The sequence below is a fragment of the Homo sapiens genome, chromosome 20 (assembly GCF_000001405.40).
Source record: "Homo sapiens chromosome 20, GRCh38.p14 Primary Assembly".
Taxonomy (NCBI): domain Eukaryota; kingdom Metazoa; phylum Chordata; class Mammalia; order Primates; family Hominidae; genus Homo; species Homo sapiens.
The window spans coordinates 43,586,631-43,606,508 of record NC_000020.11 but is presented as its reverse complement, the minus strand read 5'-3'; the positions used below and the strand labels follow the sequence as shown (position 1 = coordinate 43,606,508).

Here is a 19,878-nt window from a genome sequence, read left to right as displayed (position 1 = left end):
TGAGGTCAGGAGTTCAAGACCAGCCTGACCAACATGGTGAAACCCCATCTCTACTAAAAATAGAGAAATTAGCTGGGTGTGGTGGCAGATGCCTGTAATCCCAGCTACATGGGAGGCTGAGGCAGGAGAACCACTTGAACCTGGGAGGCGGAGGTTGCAGTGAGCTGAGATCATGCCACTGCACTCCAGCCTGGGTGACAGAGTGAGACTCCATCTCAAAAAAAAAAAAAAAAAAGATGTTCATTTGTGCTTTATTATCTATAATGACAAATATAATTTTTTTTTTTTTAGACGAAGTCTCCATCTGTCCCCCAGGCTAGAGTGCAATGGTACGATGGCAGCTCAATGCAACCTCCACCTCCCAGGTTCAAGTGATTCTCCTGCCTCAACCTCCCCAGTAGCTGGGATTATAGGCGCCCACTACCACGCACAGCTAAATTTTCTATTTTTAGTAAAGACGGGGTTTCGCCATGTTAGCCAGGCTGGTTTCAAACTCGTGACCTCAGGTGATCCACTCGCCTTGGCCACCCAAAGTGCTGCAATTACAGGAGTGAGCTACCACACCCGGCTATAAAATTGTCTATAACAACAATACGGAACAGAAGTTAAGAGTGCAGGCTCTAGAATAGACTGCCTATGTTTGCATCTAAGTTCTGACACAGAGTAGTCATGTGCATTTGGGCAATTACATCTCTGTATCTCATCTCTAACTTTCCAGAGTTGTAAGGATTAAATGAGGTAATACATGCCTGTCACACAGTCGATGCTTGACAAACATTAGGTGGTATTATTAAAGAAAAACATTATAAACTACTTAAATGTCCAATAATAGGGAGTTGGTTAGATAAACTGGGATATATCCAATTTAATCCAGTCATTAAAAATGAAGAGGTACTCACCTATAACTTTATACATGGAAAAAAAAAAACCTAGAAATCTAAATACCATACTATATATTTTTTGAGATGGAGTCTTGCTCTGTTGCCCAGGCTGGAGTGCAGTGGCGTAATCTTGGCTCACTGCAACTTCCGCCTCCGGGGTTCAAACAGTTCTCCTGTCTCAGCCTCCCGAGTAGCTGGGACTACAGGTGCACACCACCACGCCTGGCTAATTTTTGTATTTTTAGTAGAGATGGGATTTTGCCATGTTGGTTACACTTGTCTCTAACTCCTGACCTCAGGTGGGCCACCCACCTCGGCCTCCCAAAAGTGCTAGGATTACAGGCGTGAGCCACCATGCTGGGCCTAAATACTATATTAAGACTACCTTCAGGGGGAGGAGCATGGACTTACAGTGCAGAGCTTCTACTTTTTTCCTCTTGAACTGTTCAAATTCTGATTATTTTTGTAACCAGAAACAAAAGCTCTTTTCATTTTGAAAAAGAAGACTCCAAAATGATACATCTTCCTCATGTGGCATCAGAAAACACACTCACTGGGCATTGTTTCCACTGCTTTCCTCATCAATGATCCCAGGCACAGCCTTTCCTGCAGCTCGGCTAATTTCCCTTGAAGAAGAAAAATTAAAATCTAGTAAACAAAAAAAATTTGAGAATTTCACACTGCATTCATTAGTACAGCAAGTATGAGGCTAAGGTGGGAGGATTGCTTAAGCCTGGGAGGTCAAGGCTGCAGTGAACTGTGTTCCCACCACTGCATTCCAGCCTGAGCAACAGAGCAAGACTCTGTCTCAAAAAATACATATATATATAAACAAAAAATAAATTGAATGTGAAGTAAGTTTCAAAAGATGAAGAAAAATAATTTGATGAATGAGTAGTAGTAATATAGTAAAATAAATTATAATAACACAAAACAAAAAGGCAAGAAAGAAGAAAGGGCAGTGAAAAGAATGTATGAGAAGAGACGAGGGAAGATTTATGTAGAAGAAATGAGAGTTATGTGTAAGGATATTTCTGCTTTATTTTTTTTTTGAGATGAAGTCTCGCTCTGTCAGCCAGGCCAGAGTACAATGGTGCAATCTCAGCTCAATGCAACCTCTGCTTCCCGGGCTCAAGTGATTCTCCTGCCTCAGCCTCCCGAGTAGCTGGGATTACAGGCGCCTGCTACAATGCCTGGCTAATTTTTTTTGTATTTTTAGACAGGGAGATGGGGTTTCACCATGTTGGCCAGGCTGGTTTGGAACTCCTGACCTCAAAATGATCCATCCACCTTGGCTTCCCAAAGTGCTGGGATTACAGGTGTGAGCGACGATGCCTTGCCAAGATATTTCTGCTTTCAACATGCTTACCTGTTCAAGACTCCACTGGAAACTAGAGCTTCTTTAGGATGGAAATATTTGTGATATACATTTCTAACCACAGCATCTATGAGGGAAAAAGAGAAGGAGGTATATTTTAGGTTAGAAATAAATTCGATATTATAGACTCATACCAATTTTGACCTGAAGGGCACCCTGGAACTTGGTTCCAATCCATCTCGCTTTATAAATGGAAGCAGCCCAAGCCTAGGAGGCTCAGACTGCTGATGAGAATGGAACATTAAAACACGCACACACAGCCCAGGGCTTTTTCCATTATGCCACTGGACCTAGAGGGCTATGATATCAAATAATAGATAGAAAAGTACTGCCTCTACTGAAAATAATAATACTAATTACCATTATTAACCATGATTCCATATTCTTCTAGTAAAAAGTTAATATTGGTGTCAAATCTGGATTCTCCACCTTCTCCTAGCATCACAAAGACATCTCCACCAGTGTCAAGATATTTCTTCAGGATTTCAAACTACACAAAGGAAAAAAGCAATCTATGAATATACTTGAAAGACTTTTGCCCGAAATACCATGAATAAGACCTTAACTAGATGAAAAATACATATTTCAAATCTATAAGGCATTTACATATAAATGTATATAAGATAAAAAGTACTCTCTATGTAGGATCTCCAAGCTTGTCTTTGAGCATAAAGCTCCAAAATACTCAAAGTAAATTGACAATTTCAAAGCTGACTATCTAGAGAGCAAGTCAAAAGTGAAAAACTTAACTAAAGGAAGCACTCAGTTCTCCATTCAGCAGCACCCCTGGTCTCCACCTACTAGATGCCAGTTGTACCTACCTTCCCCTGGCAACCAAAAATGTCTCTTGAGATTGCCACATGTTCCCTCAGGAGAAGAAGAAATAGAATCACCCCTAGTTAAGAACCACTGATTTAGACAATGCCTTCTCTTGACTGCCCACAGAGGATATCAGGATGAAGTCATTTCATACCACACCTGGGAGGAATTCTGTTCAAGGTCATTGACCAACCAAACCATAGAGAGAAACGCATGTTTTCTGCTTATCTCCTGGAAGCTCTCTCATTTTCACAAAGCTGGGGAAGGGAGAAAAATCTAGGGTTGATCTTGCTGGTCTAGCCTGAGAAAATCTGGGGTGGGTGGTCCAGACAAATAGTTTCTCAACTTTCTTCATCAAGCACTCCAGCAGAAAAAAATCTGAACATGTATATAAATACATTCAATATGTATGTATCTCTATATAAAATATGTACTTTATAATTCAAAACAACTCCCAAAAAGGAAATGTTTTAAGGGTAATGAAAATATGAATAATAAACATAATTTCCTTTTGGCACCCCACTGATTCATCACATGCATCCTACTTTGGAAACTACTGCCCAGACTAGATTTGCCACAGCACGGCCCTCTCGCTCTTGTATGCTCCCTGAATTTTCCTCTCCCCCTGCCTTCCCCACACTGTATAAAACAAATGAATCTTCAGAGGCCAAGGTAGGCGGATCACTTGAGGTGAGGAGTTCGAGACCAGCTTGGCCAACATGGTGAAACCCCCGTCTCTACTAAAAATGCAAAAATTAGCCAGGCGTGGTGGTATGCACCCGTAGCCCCAGCTACTTGGAAGGTTGAGGGAGGGGAATTGCTTGAACCCAGGTGGTGGAGGTTGCAGTGAGCCGAGATTGCACCACTGCATTCCAGCCTGGGCAACAGAGCAAGATTCCATCTCAAAAACGAAACACAACAAAAAAACAAAACAAAATAAAAAATGAATTATTTCAAAATCAAAATTAAGGCGGGGTGCAGTGGCTCATGCCTGTAATCCCAACAGTTTGGGAGGCTGAGGTGGGTGGATCACTTGAGGTCAGGAGCTCGAGACCAGCCTGGCCAACATGGTGAAACCCCGTGTCTACTAAAAATACAAATAGCCAGGTGTGGGGGCAGATGCCTGTAATCCCCGCTACTCGGGAGGCTGAGGCAGGAGAATCAGTTGAACCTGGGAGGCGGAGGTTGCAATGAGCCGAGAATGCGCCAATGCACTCCAGCCTGGCGACAGAGCAAGACTCTGTCTCAAAATAAATAAATAAATAAATAAATAAATAAATAAATAAAATAAAAATCAGCTCAAAGTCCATTTCCTCTGGACCCAATAATCCAATGCCTCTTTTCTGTGTTTCTGTAGAAATGTGGAACTTAGAACATTGATCATTATTGGTAGATGGTCCATTTGTGTCATTTCCCCTAGACTATCGGTTCCTTGAGTGGAGAGATCATGTGCTATTTGACTTTGATCCCTAGCGTTAGTCCTAGGACCTGTTACTAGGTGTGTAACAGATCCTTAGTAAACATTTTTTGGAACAACAACAGAAAAACAAAACAAATGGGTTATAACTGCATGATCCTGGACCCTGAACAACAGACTGAATCTCTCCCTAAATTCATCTTCCTTTTCCTTCCTTTTGATTTCCTCTCAAACTCCTCTTCCCAGACAGCCCTAAATATATGCTATGTTCTATGACTGATAATAGCAAGCCAGGTCTAGTTTGCAATATATATTCTCAGAACATAGCTTTTGCTTGGGAAATTCTACTGGGACTTGGTTTTCATGATTATGTGGTTCTGGGATTTGTCCATGTTGCCTAAATGCAATGAGTATATAGTAGTTATTGGTATCTACTGTGTCCTATTGGCCATCTGGCATTTTAAGAAAAAGATACATGAAGGATGTGGTGTGCAATAACACAGGTGGGCAAAAGTTGAAGGAGCTTACATGAATTATGACCCAGTTTCCAGCTATACACGTAAGTGAGACCCTTCTAACAAAAGAATGGATATTTGGTACAAACTGGAGGTTTCTTATTTCTTTATGGCAAAAACAGGAAGAAAGATTAATTTTGCAGACTTGAATTTTAGAAATTGGCTTAGAATGCATTCACACTGTTAGTGTGGCAGCAAATGTGAGGTATTTCCTGTAATCGAGACTGGATGATCCAGGCCAGTGGCTCTCAGTGGAGGCATTTAAACCATCTAGCATGTATTCTGGATCACCATAATATTAATATTAATATGGCAAAATATTAATGCCATAATATTAATGTTTAAGGACATTTTAGCGGGTGAAGGGCAGGGAAGTTAAGGTCCTGCAATATTCAGACCAGTCCCACACAGTAAAGAACTATTCCACAGCATTTGAATATCTTCTCAGATAGTCACGGAGGTTTAAAAAAGAAAAAGCAAACAAACAAAAGAAGCTCAGCCTAAAATCTAACTCCAATTTCTTTATTTTTTTTGAGATGAAGTCTTGCTCTGTCACCCATGCTGCAGTGGCTCGATCTCGGCTCACTGCAAACTTCGCCTCCTGGGTTCAAGTGATTCTCCTGCCTCAGCCTCCTGAGTAGTTGTGACTACAGGAGCCTGCCACCACACCTGGCTAATTTTTGTATTTTCAGTAGAGACAAGGTTTCACCATGTTGGCCAGGCTAGTCTCAAACTCCTGACGTCTGGTGTTCCACCCGCCTCGGCCTCCCAAACTCCTGGGATTACAGGAGTAAGCTACTGCGCCCAGCTCAAATTCTATGTAAATACTGTACAAAGTATTTTTTGCACGATTTAACATATACTGAATTCGGAGGTACCCAACTACCATGTAAACTGAGAGAAGAATTATACTCTTTTTATTAACAGAACTTTACCAGAGGCCAAGGCGGGCGGATCACAAGGCCAGGAGATCGAGATCACCCTGGCTAACACGGTGAAACCCCATCTCTACTAAAAATACAAAAAATTAGCCGGGCGTGGTGGTGGGCACCTGTAGTACCACCTACTCGGAAGGCTGAGGCAGGAGAATGGCGTGAACCCGGGAGGCGGAGCTTGCAGTGAGCTGAGATCACTCCACTGCACTCCAGCCTGGGTGACAGAGCAAGACTCCGTCTCAGGAAAAAAAAAAAAAAATAGAACTTTACCAAGAGTTAGTCAGTATTTTGGAAAAATCACATCACCGACAGCAACACGGCTCATGATTTGAATTGCCAATACATCACTTCCACCAGTCTGCATATGTACCTATCCCATTCATCGGAGTTCTACATACTTATTAAACATTTATTTCAAAATGTCAAACATAAAGAAGTGTTCTAATGCATGTATGACCAAGCATTAACAAACTGAAATATGTATATTCTTCTAGTATATATATGCATAAACATTTACAATTTGAAATACACATATTCTTTTATAAATCATCCTTTAATTTCTGTACATTAAAGTTAGGAAGTTATATTGCTTTACTTTTTTAATGGTGGTGGGTTAGATTATCTTTGCATTTCAATTCAGGGTAACAAAGTTGGCATCTGTAATATAGGTGGATGCTGGTCTGTTAGGGTTGGAAAATACTCGTCTCAGCCACGTGGTTACCTGGTCGTAACTGAATACCACCACAAAGCTAGTGTAATGCGTCAATGTAGTTGAGGTGGAAATAAGGAAAGACTGTTCAGCCTAGTTTCTAGCATGATACTAGCATCTAATATCAGACATATGATGTCTGTCCTGTCACAGAAGTTTCTGGAAGTCAACATGAAAAAGGCATCACACAGCTCTCCAGGGGTAACAGTCTAGGAGGCCAGCAGCAATGACAAGGAAAGCAGTGATCTCACAAGCATGAGCCCATTGGAAGAACTGTAACACAAAGGAATGCTGATTCCTAGAAAAAAAGCTAACAGCTTTTTTCCCTTTTCTTCCCACCTCACTCCAACTCTAAAGAGAAGGTATGGTGTCAGGGACTGGTCTGGGAGAGGACGTTTTATTAGGCTAAAGTTACATCAAATTTGCCTCTCGAAGGACTTGTGTCTCTTGGATGCATCAGCCTACCATGCCTGGAAGCCCAAACTAAGGCTTGGCCTGGCACCCATCTCCACTTGGGAAAAGGCCCAGGCACCAGGTTCTGACCCTCTCTTTGGATGCCCCTGTGTTCCTGAGGCTGGTTGGTCCCTGGCAAACATCAGGCCAACTCTCTCATTGGCTTCGCTAGGTGGATGGGGAGATGGAGCCGAAGCCCAACAAGCAATAGAGTGTTGCTCTGCAGGCCACTGCCCTCTGTGTGTACATATCCCTCAGGGTCTCAGTGGGTAGGAGTTGCTGGTTACCTCCACATTCCCAATGGTAATTTCTACTCCTTCTGTCAATTAACCTGATCAAACAATCATGTCCCTCTCCATGCCATTCCCAGCGGGGGAAGGTCACTTTGCAATCAAATTGAGAAACAAAGTGCACTAGAAATGCTCCCCAGTGGACCTCTTCCCCATGGCACCACCCAGAGTAACAGCAGGAGACCTTGGCCTGCCTCAATCTAAGGACCACATTGGCCTTGCCCTGCCTCAACCTCTCTATTCCCCATATTCTCTCTCAGCACAAAGGTACTTCCCATTCTCTGTAAAATGGCTCTTTCTATGTTCTGGGTTTTTTGTTTTATTGACTGTGAAAAAACACACCTAATCTTTCCTAAATTTACCATCTTAACCATTCTGAAGTATATAGTTCAGCAGTTTTTTGTTTGTTTGTTTTTTCTTTTCAGACAGGGTCTCTGTCGCCAGGCTGGAGTGCGGTGGCGCAATCTCGGCTCACTGCAACCTCCGCCTCCCAGGTTCAAGCGATTCTCCCACCTCCACTTCCCAAGTAGCTGGGAGTACAAGCATGTGCCACCAAGCCCGGCTAATTTTTGTATTTTTAGTAGAGATGAGGTTTCACCATGTTGGCCAAGCTGGTCTCAAACTCCTAGCCTCAAGTGATCCACCCACCTCAGCCTCCCAAAGTGCTGGGATTACAGGTGTTAGCCACCGCACCTGGCCTAGTTCAGCAGTATTAAATATACTCACACTGTTAGGCAATCAATCTGCAGAACTGTTTTCATCTTGCAAAACTGAAACTCTATACCTATTAAGCAGCAACGCTCCATTCCCCACCTCCCCCAGGCCCTGGCAACCACCACCCTTCTATTTTCTGTCTCTACGAATTCGACTACTCTACGTACCTCATGCTTGCATAAGTGAAATCATACAGTATTTGTCTTTTTGTGTCTGCCTTATTTTCGTTTGGCATAATGTCCTCAAGATTCATCCATGTGTAGCATGTATCAGAATTACCTTCCTATTTAAGATTGAATAATATTCCATTGTATGTATATACCATATCTTATCTACTCATCTGCCGATGGATACTTGGGCTATTTCCACCTTTTGGCTATTGTGAATAGCGCTGCTAGGAAGATAGGTGTGCAACTATCTCTGAGATCTGGTTTTCCATTCTTTTGGGCATATACCCAGAAGTGGAATTGCTAGATCATATGGCAGTTTTTTTTTTTTTTTTTTTTTGAAAGAGTCTCACTCTGTTGCCAACGCTGGAGTGCAGTGGCCCGATCTCTGCTCGCTGCAACTCCGCCTCCCAGGTTCAAGTGATTCTCCTGCCTCAGCCTCCCAAGTAGTTGGGATTACAGGCGCACACCATCACGCCCGGCTAATTTTTGTATTTTTAGTAGAGATGAGGTTTCACCATGTTGGCCAGGCTAGTCTCGAACTCCTGACCTCAAGTGATCCACCCTTCTCAGCCTCCCAAAGTGCTGGGATTACAGGCGTGGGCCACCACACACAGCCATCATATGGCAATTTTATGCTTAAATTTTTGAGGAACTACCATACTGTTTTTCATGGTGACTGCATCATTTTACATTCCCACCATCAGTGTGGAAGGGTTCCAATAACTTCCCATTCTCACCAATACTTGTCATTTGTATTCTGGGCCTTACATTTATCATTCTTTATCCATTCCATGAACTAGAATAATAAACACTTTTATTTTAAATGAATTCCTATTTTCTTTCTTTTTTTTTTTTTGAGATGGAGTTTTGCTCTTGTTGCCCAGGCTGGAGTGAGATGGCGCGATCTTGGCACACAGCAAGCTCCGCCTCCCAGGTTCAAGCGATTCTCCTGCCTCAGCCTCTCATGTAGCTGGGATTACAGGAATGCGCCACCACGCCTGGCTAATTTTGTATTTTTAGTAGAGACGGGGTTTCTCCATGTTGGTCAGGGTGGTCTTGAACTCCCGACCTCAGGTGATCTGCCTGCCTCGGCCTCCCAAAGTGTTGGGATTACAGGTGTGAGCCACCGCGCCTGGCGGAATTTTCCTATTTTCAAAGCAAAAATATAGCAAAGAAATGTGGCTACTGGCTGGGCTCGGTGGCTCACACCTGTAATCCCAGCACTTTGGGAGGCTGAGGTAGGCAGATCACAAGGTCAGGAGTTTGAGACCAGCCTGGCCAATATGGTGAGACCCCATCTGCACCAAAAATACAAAAATTAGCCGGGCGTGGTGGTGGGCACCTGTAGTCCCAGCTACTCAGGAGGCTGAGGCAGTGAGAATTGCTTGAACCCGGGAGGTGGAGGTTGCAGTGAGCCGAGATTGCGCCACTGCACTCCAGCCTCGGCGACAGAGCGAGACTCTGTCTCAAAAAAAAAAAAAAAAAAAAAAAGAAGTGTGGCTAATATTTAATTGGCCCACACTATGTGTTTGGTACTTTACATGGAGTATCTCAGTTAATCATCACAACTCCATGATGAAAAGAGAGATGAAGTGACTACCTTAAGGCCACACAGTAAGTGGTGAAGGGGGATTCAAATCCGGTATTTCAAAGCTCAGACTCCTAATCATTTCACCATATTCCTTCTTTAGTGGATATTTCTTACCTCAGCTGCAGTAAATTTTTCCCTTGGCCCAGCTGTAATCCACAGTTTCACTCCATTTAACTTCTCAGATGTGATTTCATCTTTTAAGCTGGAAATACAATTTTAAAAGCAAATATGAAGTCCATAATTTAAACCAATTTATGTATTATTTTAGTCTCTTAACTATTTGGAAGCAGAGGCCACAGAGGCTCAGAGATGAAGGGATTTAGAGGTAACTGGTCCAGTCTCTCTCCCAAAGTGAGAATTCCCTCTACAGGCCTGCCCCAGAGTCATCTGGCCTCTGTTCAAATACTTCCAGTAAGTCAAGGTGTTCAAATCAAGCCATGCTAAAGCATAAGGAAGTCTGCAACTACTAATTCAATCAGCCCTACCATTAGCTTGTATGATTACATATCCTCACCTATTAAGAAAAACATGCACATACACAAAGTTATTCTCATTTAATTCTCATGTTTCCTTTCCCTAGTACTGACCTGAGTCAAAATATGAAGAAAGCCTCTAACATCTTAAAAAGCTACATGTGTATAATTAGAATAATCTTTTGGCTTGTGATTTGGAAAACAACTTAATAATATGCTGCTTTAATAATATCCTAATTGCTGATTTCGAAAGACATTTTTTTTTTAATTTTTGTTTTTGACAGAGTCTCCCTCTGTTTCCCAGGCTGGAGTGCAGTGGCATGATCTCGGCTCACTGCAGGCATTCACTTCCTGGGTTCAAGGGATTCTTGTGCCTCAGCCTCCTTAGTAGCTGGGATTATAGGCATGCACCATCATGTCTGGCTAATTTTTGTATTTTCAGTAGAGATGAGGTTTTGCCATGTAGGCCAGGCTGGTCGCCAACTCTTGACCTCTAGTGATCTGCCTGCTTCAGCCTCCCAAAGTGCTGGGATTACAGGCATGAGCCACCGCGTCCTGCCCAAGAGACGTTTTAATAAGAATTTATTTCATTCTGAATAATGTTTTTTTATTTTTTTAGACAGAGTCTCGCTCTGTCACCAAGCTGGAGTGCAGTGGCGCAATCTCGGCTTACTGTAACCTCCGCCTCCTGGATTTAAGCGATTCTCCTGCCTCAGCCTCCCGAGCAGCTGGGACCATAGGCACGCACGATCATGCCCAGCTGATTTTTGTATTTTTAGTAGAGACAGGGTTTCGCCATGTTGGCCAGGATGGTCTTGATCTTTCTTTTTTTTTTTTTTTTTTTTTTGAGACGGAGTCTCACTCTGTTGCCCAGGCTGGAGCGCAGTGGCACAATCTCGGCTCACTGCAACCTCTGCCTCCCGGGTTCAAGCAATTCTCTGCTTCAGCCTCCCAAGGAGCTGGGATTACAGGCGCCCACCACCACACTTCGCTAATTTTTTTTTTAATTTTTAGTAGCGATGGGGTTTCACCATCTTGTCCAGGCTTGTCTCGAACCCATGACCTCATGATCCACCCGCCTTGGCCTCCCAAAGTGCTGGGATTACAGGTGTCAGCCACCGTGCCGGCCAGTCTTGATCTCTTGACCTCGTGATCCGCCCGCCTCAGCCTCCCAAACTGCTGGGATTACAGGTGTGAGCCACCACGCCAGACCTAATTCTGAATAATCTTTAAATTGAGCTTCTCCCACCTAAACAATCTATGTTACCTAAGAAAATAAAGACTTCTCAGCTTTATCAGCAGGACAATATCATTTAGAAGGGAAAACAATATACATGGTCAGTCACCTCTGAATCTTCCAATTACTCCGAAGTTTTTTCTGCATGGATTTGTAGCCATTGTTGGTGGTAAATATCTCCTTTTTGTAGGCATTGAAAAGAATGGTGCTCCGCAGCTCTTTCTCCATGGTTACCTTATGGAAGAAAGATGGGATCAGAAAATCAATAAACAATATTCCAAAGACCCTAAAAGTAATAAATAGTTGCCTTCTACTACTAATTTATCAAGAAAGGGTATACAACTGAAACCTATCTAGGAAACTCCTACAATTCTCAAAGGTTGAGAGTGAAATGCAAAAGCATAGCACAGAAACCTAAGACCAAAACCAACCCAGCCCTCCCCTACCCGCTTTTGCTTTCTGCCTCTTGCCCAGATCCTCCCAACAGCCTACACCTATGGCTCTGCCCTGCCATCACCCTGCTCTTGTGTCCCAAGACCATGTTTCCATCCTGATTCATTACTGCTAACTACTGTTAAGCGCAGGGTATAGTCTTCTAGATTCTATTTTTCTTTTTTTTGAGACGGAGTCTTGCTCTGTCTCCCAGGTTGGAGTGCAATGGTGTGATCTTGGCTCACTGCAACCTCCATCTCCCGGGTTCAAGCGATTCTCCTGCCTCAGCCTCCTGAGTTGCCAGGATTACAGGCACGTGTCACCATGCCCAGCTAATTTTTGTATTTTCAGTAGAGACGGGGTTTCACCATGTTGGTCAGGCTGGTCTCAAACTCCTGACCTCATGATCCACCTGCCTTGGCCTCCCAAAGTGCTGGGATTACAGGTGTGAGCCACTGCACCCAGCTCGAGATTCTTTTTATACATATATTAACTTACAGTTTTATTTTATGAAATAGGATCTTACCATATGCATTATTCTGAAACACCTGTTTCACCTAACCTTGTATATTTGACATCTTTCTTTGTCAGTACACATGGATCTACCATATTCTTTTAAACAGCTACACAGGGCTGGGTGCAGTGGCTCACGCCTGTAACTCCAGCACTTTGAGAGGCTGAGGTGGGAGGATCGCTTGAGCTCAGCAGTTCCAGACCAGCCTGGATAACATGATAAAACCACATCTCTACAAAAAAAATTAGCAGGGCATGGTGGCACATATCTGTAGTCCCAGCTATTCGGGAGGCTGAGGTGAAAGGATTGCTTGAGCCCAAGAGGTTAAGGCTGCAGTGAGCCACAATCACGCCACTCTGCACTCCAGCCTGGAGAACACAGCAAGACCCTGTCTTTAAACAACAACAACAACAAAAACAGCTACACAGTATTCATTTTATGGATCTACCATAATTTATTTAACCAGTCATCTACTGGCTGACATCTTTTATCAAATATTTTCTAAAACAATACTAAAAACATCAATGTTAAACAACATGTTTTTCTGCAATTTGCATATTTGTAGAGATTCTTATCTATTGAATGGCTGAGTAAATCATTTCCAAATTGCCCTCCAAAAAGTTATACTCATTTATATTTCCACTAACACCCTTCTGTTTCCACACAATCCTATTTCCAGTCTTTGTCATGTTTGCCAATAAAGGGCCAAAAAACCCCCCTCATTACTGTTTTAATTTCCACTTTGAAGTTAGTGAGATAGTTGTCTCTTGCTATAGATTTTTGCCACTTGTATTTCTTCTGATTTTCTTGTCCAGGTACTCTTGATCATTTTTCTCTTTAAATTTTTCTTTTTAAAAACTTCTTCTTATTATTATTATTTGAGATAAAAGTCCCACTCTGTGACCCAGGCTGGGAGTGCAGTGCTGCAATCACAACTCACTGTAGCCTTGACCTCCCAGGCTCAAGCAATCATCCCACTTCAACCTCATGGGTAGCTGGGACTACAGGCGCGCACCAGTGTCCAGCTAATTTTTAAATTTTTTGTAGAAGCAAGGTCTCGCTATGTTGCCCTTGAACTCCTGACCTCAAGTGATCCTCCTACCTCAACCTCCCAAAGTGCTGGTTTACTGGCATGAGCCACTGCACCCAGTCGGGTTTCATAATTTTCTAATTGATCATTAAACAAACATTTTCATAAGTTTATTTGGCTTCTGGTAGTTTTTTTGGTTTGGTTGAATTTTGCAGGCCATATAGATTTTAAATTTTATAGAGTTAAAAGTATGAATCTTTTCCTTCCTGGCTTCTGGATGACATGAAACACTTAGAAGAGTTTTTTGTCATTCTAAGATTATAAATAAATTCAACAATGCTTTACTTCAGTACTTCATGATGTAATTTTTTTTTTTTTTTGAGAGAGTCTGCTCTGTGGCCTAAGCTGGAGTGCAGTGGCACGATCTCGGCTCACCACAACCTCTGCCTCCCAGATTCAAGAGATTCTCGTGCCTCAGCCTCCCAAGCGGCTGGGACTACAGGCGCCCAAACACACCCGGCTAATTCGTGATGTAATTTTTTAACATTTAAATTTTAGTCCATTTGGAAATTATTGTGGTGCTCAAAATGGGCTTCATTCCTTTTTTTTTTCCTTCTTTTTCAAAGCATAGTCTTGCTCTGTCACCCAGGCTGGAGTGCAGTGGTGCAATCTCGGCTCGCTGCAACCTCCGCCTCCCAAGTTCAAGCAATTCTCCTGCCTCAGCCTCCCCAGTAGCTGGGATTACAGGCGCGCGCCATAGTAGAGACGGTGTTTCACCAGGTTGGCCAGGCTGGTCTGGAACTCCTGACCTCAAGTGATCCACCCGCTTTGGCCTCCCAAAGTGCTGGGATTACAGGTGTGAGCCACCTCGCTCGACTGGTTTAATTATTTTCTAAATTGCTAAAAAAGCTGCCTGACCCCAATTCATCTCTTCAATGCTGATTTGAAATACAGTACCACCTCGCCTATATAATAAATCCCTATATATAAATCGCTCTTATTCTGAGTTCTAATATATTTTATCTACCTGTAAGCTCCTGCTGAGTCCCAAACTTTTTAAATTAATTTATTTATTTTCAGAGACAGGGTTTCCTTTTGATACCCATGCTGGTCTCTGACTCCTGGGCTCAAGGGATCCTGCCGCCTCAGCCTACCAAGTAGCCAGGACTACGGGCCCACACTGCTGCACCCATCTTCTATGCTAGTTTAATTGCTATACCTTTATGTTATAATATCTGGTGGTTCTGGAGAGCTAATCTCCCTTATTAGCATTAATTTTAGAATTTTCCTGGCTACTTTCACATATTTATCCTTCTTTAAGCACTTTAACATCATTTTGTCCAGTTGAAAAACTGCCCCCTCCATGGTCCCACCACCGTGATACATCTATCTTTTTTTGTTCTGTTAGTTCAGCCCCTGGTGAGAGTAGCAGGTCTGCGTTCCTGTACTGTCAGACTTAGCCAGAAATGCATTTCCTTAATAATAGTATAAGGCCTTTAAAACTATAAAAATAACAAATATTTGGGTAACGCTGCCAAACCATTCTCTCGCTTTCTCTTCAATAACATTACCAGTCAAATCAGTATTTTCCCACATGAATACCGAGGGGTCGCAGCCACGACAGAAGAGAGATTAAGACTGTACGATTCCTCGTCCCATGCTCTTTCATAGTCAGCGGAACGACTAAACACCTGCACCACCCGAGGCCGTGGAGATGGGCGCCCAGCCGGGGCGCCAGGAACCCGGGCTACGTCCGCGCCCACAGTTTACTTCACCCCGGGGGACCCTGGATGTTCTATGACCGGCCCAGCGGCCTCGAAGAGTGCGGCGAGTCCCTCGCCAGCTCCCAGGCCGCACCAACGCCCCAGCCGGCCCACCACTGTTGGCGCCCTTTACCTGAGGCCCAGCGACCACCGCTCACCTGACGCCGCCCAGCATCCCGCGGCCAGGTATCCAAGGCCGCTTAGTAACCGGAGAGGCGCGTCGGTGCGCCGGGAGGCGTGGCCCAGGACGCAGCGCTAGCTCCGGCCGACGTGATGACGACAGCACGGAAGGCGCCTCTCCGTCGCAGGCGTCAGGGGTAGGCAGCCTGACTGATGTGGGGCTGTACCATTTGGTGCATGAGGGGCAAATCCAAACATAAGGAGAATTAACTTTTCACCAAAAATAAACCCATTTAATTTTGTTCTTTAGTATCAATTACGAGTAAAGACTAATAACAACGGTAGGACCCAAGTGCCCAAACTTCGCTCCACCCACAGGGAGGAGAATAGTGAAGGCTTCCAGCGCGGGGGGGTTGGAGAACGCCCCAGCTTCGATTCCCAAAGCGCAGGAGCAGAGTGGAGCCAGGCGAGGGCGGGGCCGGGCGGAAGGCTGTGCTGGACTATTAGGAACTACTTAACGGAAAAGGGTGCGCAGGTTTAGTGTTGAGAATGATAAACCGTATAATTCTGTTTTATTAACTCCGCATCTTTGCTTGCCATGGTACTAGGCTTGAGCGCCGGCGAGCATGGCGGGGAGTTAGAACTTGAATAGATTCTACAAAAATGTGAAAACTATGAACTGTATTAGGGAGTCTAACGACTAAGCTGGTCAAAAAGGCGCCCCTGTTGAGCAGAGATTTGAAGAGAGAGTGGTATTCATTAAGGCAAAGGCTGGGGAAGGGCGTTCCCGGCAGAAAGAACTGCTTGTGCAAAAGCACCACCAATACAGGTTGCCCTGCCATCGCCATTAAGATGGGAAACCAGAAGCCTGCAACTACCAACAGGCCACCCGACTACCCAGGAAAGCGCTCTGTGCCTGCCTTTAGAGGTGTGTGGATTTGTGAACAACGCTGCAGCAGCCTGGAAGACCCAAACTGAAGATTGCAGAGAGCTCTGACAGTTTTTATTTACATTTATGTTTGTCTTCGAATCTAGGATATTAAAACACATACAACTCGTGTTGCTTTCCACAATTTCTGTCACTGGAAATTTTAAAAGTGGAGACGGGCCGGGCGCAGCGGCTCTCTCCTGTAATCCCAGCACTTTGGGAGGCCGAGGCAGGTGGATCTCTTTAGCCCAGGAGTTTGAGGCCAGCCTAGGCAACATGGCGAAACCCGGTATCTACTAAAAATAGGAAAAATTACCTGGGCGTGGTGGCGCGCGCCTGTAGTCCCAGCTGCTTGGGAGACTGAGGTGGGAGGATTGATTGATTGATCCTAGGAGGTTGAGGCTGCAGTGAGCCGTCATGGTGCCGCCGCACTCTAGCCTAGGCAACACAGTGAGACCTTGTCTCAAAAAGAAAGTGGAGAACAGGGTGATTTGAGAATTCTCTTTGGTCAGATGAAGTGGCTTCTGCCTGTAATCCCAGCATTTTGGGAGGCCAAGGTGGGAGGACTGCTTGAGGCCAGGAGTCTGGGACCTGGGTAACAGTAACACCTTTTCTCTCCAATAATAATAGTAATAATAAATAAAAAAAGAAAATTAGCCAGGCATGGTGGCACACACCTGTAGTCTTAGCTACTTGGGAGGCTGAGGTGGGAAGATCGCTGGAACCCAGGAGTTCGGGCTGCAGTGAGCCATGATCGCTCCACTGCACCCCAGCCTGGGCAACAGAGTGAGACTCTGTCTCTTAAAAAAAAAAAGTTCTCTTCTTGGGGATGCTGTATTTTGGTGCAGAATTGGGTGAATACAGTTTGCAGTTAGGGTAATAATGGAAATGAAGTATTCTCACTGAAGAGAGAGTAGGCCGTCCCATTTGAAGGCTGGGACAAATCTTGGGATCTTTCTGCCTGATATGCAGTCAGTGTTTGCTACAGCACCTGCCCAGAGCATTTCTCCCACTGTTAGAGATTGCAGAAAGAGTAAGAGTTTTGGCCGGGTGCAGTGGCCCACGCCTGTAATCCCAGCACTTTGGGAGGCCAAGGCAGGTGGATCACTTGAGGTCAAGAGCTCGAGACCAGCCTGACCAACATGGTGAAACCCCGTCTCTATAAAAAATAAAATAAAAATAAAAATACAAAAAATTAGCCGGGTGTGGTGGCGGCCGCCTGTAATCCCAGCTGCTTGGGAGACTGAGGCAGGAGAATCACTCGAACCCAGGAGGCAGAGGTTGCAGTGAGCTGAGATTGCGCCATTGCACTCCAGCCTGGGCAACAAGAGCATAACTCCGTCCCCGCTTCCCCCCCCAAAAAAGCAAGAGTAAGACTTTTAGAATCAGTAGTTGTCACCAAGTTCAATTCCTCGCTGTGACTTGTACCAGCTGGGTGACCTTGGGCAGTTTTCATAATCTCTGAGCAAATGTATCCTATCTGTAAAGCGAAGTTAATAATTTCTTTCTTTCTTTCTTTTTTTGCCGAAACTGAGTCTTGCTCTGTTGCCCAGGCTGGAGTGCAATGGCATGATCTCCGCTCACTGCAACCTTCGCTTCCTGGGTTCAAGCAATTCTCCTGCCTCAGTCTCTCAGGTAGCTGGGATTACAGGCACCCGCCACCATGCCCGGCTAATTTTTGTATTCTTAGTAAAAACGGGGTTTCACCATTTTGGCTAGGCTGGTCTTGAACTCTTGACCTCGTGAATTGCCTGCCTTGGCCTCCCAGAGTGCTGGGATTACAGGCGTGAGCCACTGCGCCCAGTCTGAAGTTCATAATTTCTAAATGCTGGCTTATAGTGAGGATTGTAGATAATGCATATAAAACTTGGAATGTGCTCAATAAACATAGGTTGTAGCATGTTCCATTCAACAGCATAGTTTTTCATTTTTATTTTTTATCCTGATGAAAATAATTGTGCTTTTACAATCTCAGAACAGATAGAACCATTATATGTTTCACCGTCCACAGCTGATTGTGTGCTTCTGACACTACTATTACGTTTCTGATCATTATACTCCTGTTTTTTTGCTTTGGGAAGTTAGGGGGATTTTGACCTCTCCCTCATCTTGTCCCAAATTTGTCAATTATCTGGCACTATTAAGATGGAAATCAGTGTGTATCTTTCAGCGTTCTTAGCACATGTGAAAGCTTAACATGAACTCTTCCTGACCCAGTTTTGATCTCTAATAGCTCAGTGTCATTGGTGTTTTTTCTGTGGTCTCCCAGACTTCTTCCCCGTGATTCCTGGGGCAGGAGGCTGGGTGAACAAGACTTGAGGAAGGGAAAGAGTGGGATTGAATTAAGAGGAAAAGGCAATAAAATCACCAGCACACACTGATCCAAGAAAGTTCCTTCCCTTGTCTCCCAACCAAAAAAGCTAATAAGGCCACCCAGGAGTATGAACCACACATTTGTAAAAAAACAAACCACTTTTCGTATTTATTTATTTATTAATAAGACAGTCACACTCTGTCGCCCAGGCTGGAGTGCAGTGGCACGATCTTGGCTCACTGCAACCTCTGCCTCCCGGGTTCAAGTGATTCTCGTGTCTCAGCCTCCCGAGTAGCTGGGACTACAAGCATGCACCACCACACTCAGCTAAATTTTTGTATTTTTAGTAGGGACAGGGTTTCACCATACCGGCCGGGCTGGTCTACAAACTCCTGACCTCGGCCTCCCAAAGTGCTGGGATTACAGGTGTGAGCCAGCACGCCCAGCCGAAACGAACCACTTTTCCACTGAAGTAAGGAAGCACAATCCATCCCACAAGTGCAGGGTGTTCTGAATTTATGAGGTGTTACCGCTCACGTTCTGTCCGATCAGAATTATCTTTAGAAATGACTAATCTTGGCTGGGTGCGGTGGCTCACGCCTGTAATCCCAGCACTTTGGGAGGCCGAGGTGGGCGGATCATCTGAGGTCGGGAGTTGGAGACCAGCCTCACCAACATGGAGAAACCCTGTCTCTACTAAAAATACAAAATTAGCCAGGCCTGGTGGCGCATTCCTGTAATCCCAGCTACTCAGGAGGCTGAGGCAGGAGAGTTGCTTGAACCTGGGAGGCGAAGGTTGCGGTGAGTCGAGATCGTGCCACTGCACTCCAGCCTGGGCAACAAGAGCAAAACTCAGTCTCAAAAAAAAAAAAAAAAAAAAGACTAATCTTGAACATATGGAGCTCCATGGTGGACAGGAAGCTCTAGGCATCAAGTCTGCAGCAGCCTCCAGCTCTGTCCAGCTCTGAGCTCCCCAATGTGCGGTGGAGCACGGCATGAACCTGGCAGCCAGGCTCAGACCAGGAGCGGCATCCCGTTCAATGTCTCCTCTTCAATACCCCATTTCTTATACTTGGCTTGTTCCAGCCAACTTTTGACTTAGCTCCTCACTAGAGATTTTGGCAGTCATTCTGCCTGGACCTAATAGCCAGGGTGAGAAGCAGATCAGCACAAAAGTTCAATGTGAGAGCCCTGG

At 44.5% G+C, this 19,878-nt stretch overlaps 1 protein-coding gene across 7 annotated transcripts in view, besides 1 other annotated feature; it reads right to left on the bottom strand.

Moving 5' to 3' along the window:
- The window catches only part of IFT52 (intraflagellar transport 52), a 56,363-nt gene extending 40,791 nt beyond the window's left edge, over positions 1-15,572 (bottom strand). For 3 of the 7 annotated variants that reach the window (NM_001323581.2, NM_001303458.3, NM_001303459.3), the window contains exons 1-6: positions 15,480-15,572; positions 11,692-11,816; positions 9,987-10,074; positions 2,620-2,749; positions 2,251-2,326; positions 1,436-1,507 (exon numbers count right to left, since the gene is read on the bottom strand). Coding sequence is in view for 3 of the 7 variants with exons in the window: in NM_001303458.3 (NP_001290387.1) it covers positions 1,436-1,507; positions 2,251-2,326; positions 2,620-2,749; positions 9,987-10,074; positions 11,692-11,810 (485 nt within the window). In the remaining 4 variants the exon portion in view is untranslated. Of the gene's footprint in view, positions 1-1,292; positions 1,508-2,250; positions 2,327-2,619; positions 2,750-9,986; positions 10,075-11,691; positions 11,817-15,454 lie in introns of all 7 variants that reach the window. The other 4 variants (NM_001323579.2, NM_016004.5, NM_001323578.2 and 1 more) reach the window with 3 other exon arrangements.
- Positions 15,381-15,450: an enhancer, noted in NCBI's record as "active region_17904". NCBI's record gives its function as "activates an Ori minimal core promoter by ATAC-STARR-seq in GM12878 lymphoblastoid cells {active_cell/tissue: GM12878}" and the evidence as "EXISTENCE:reporter gene assay evidence [ECO:0000049][PMID:35858748]".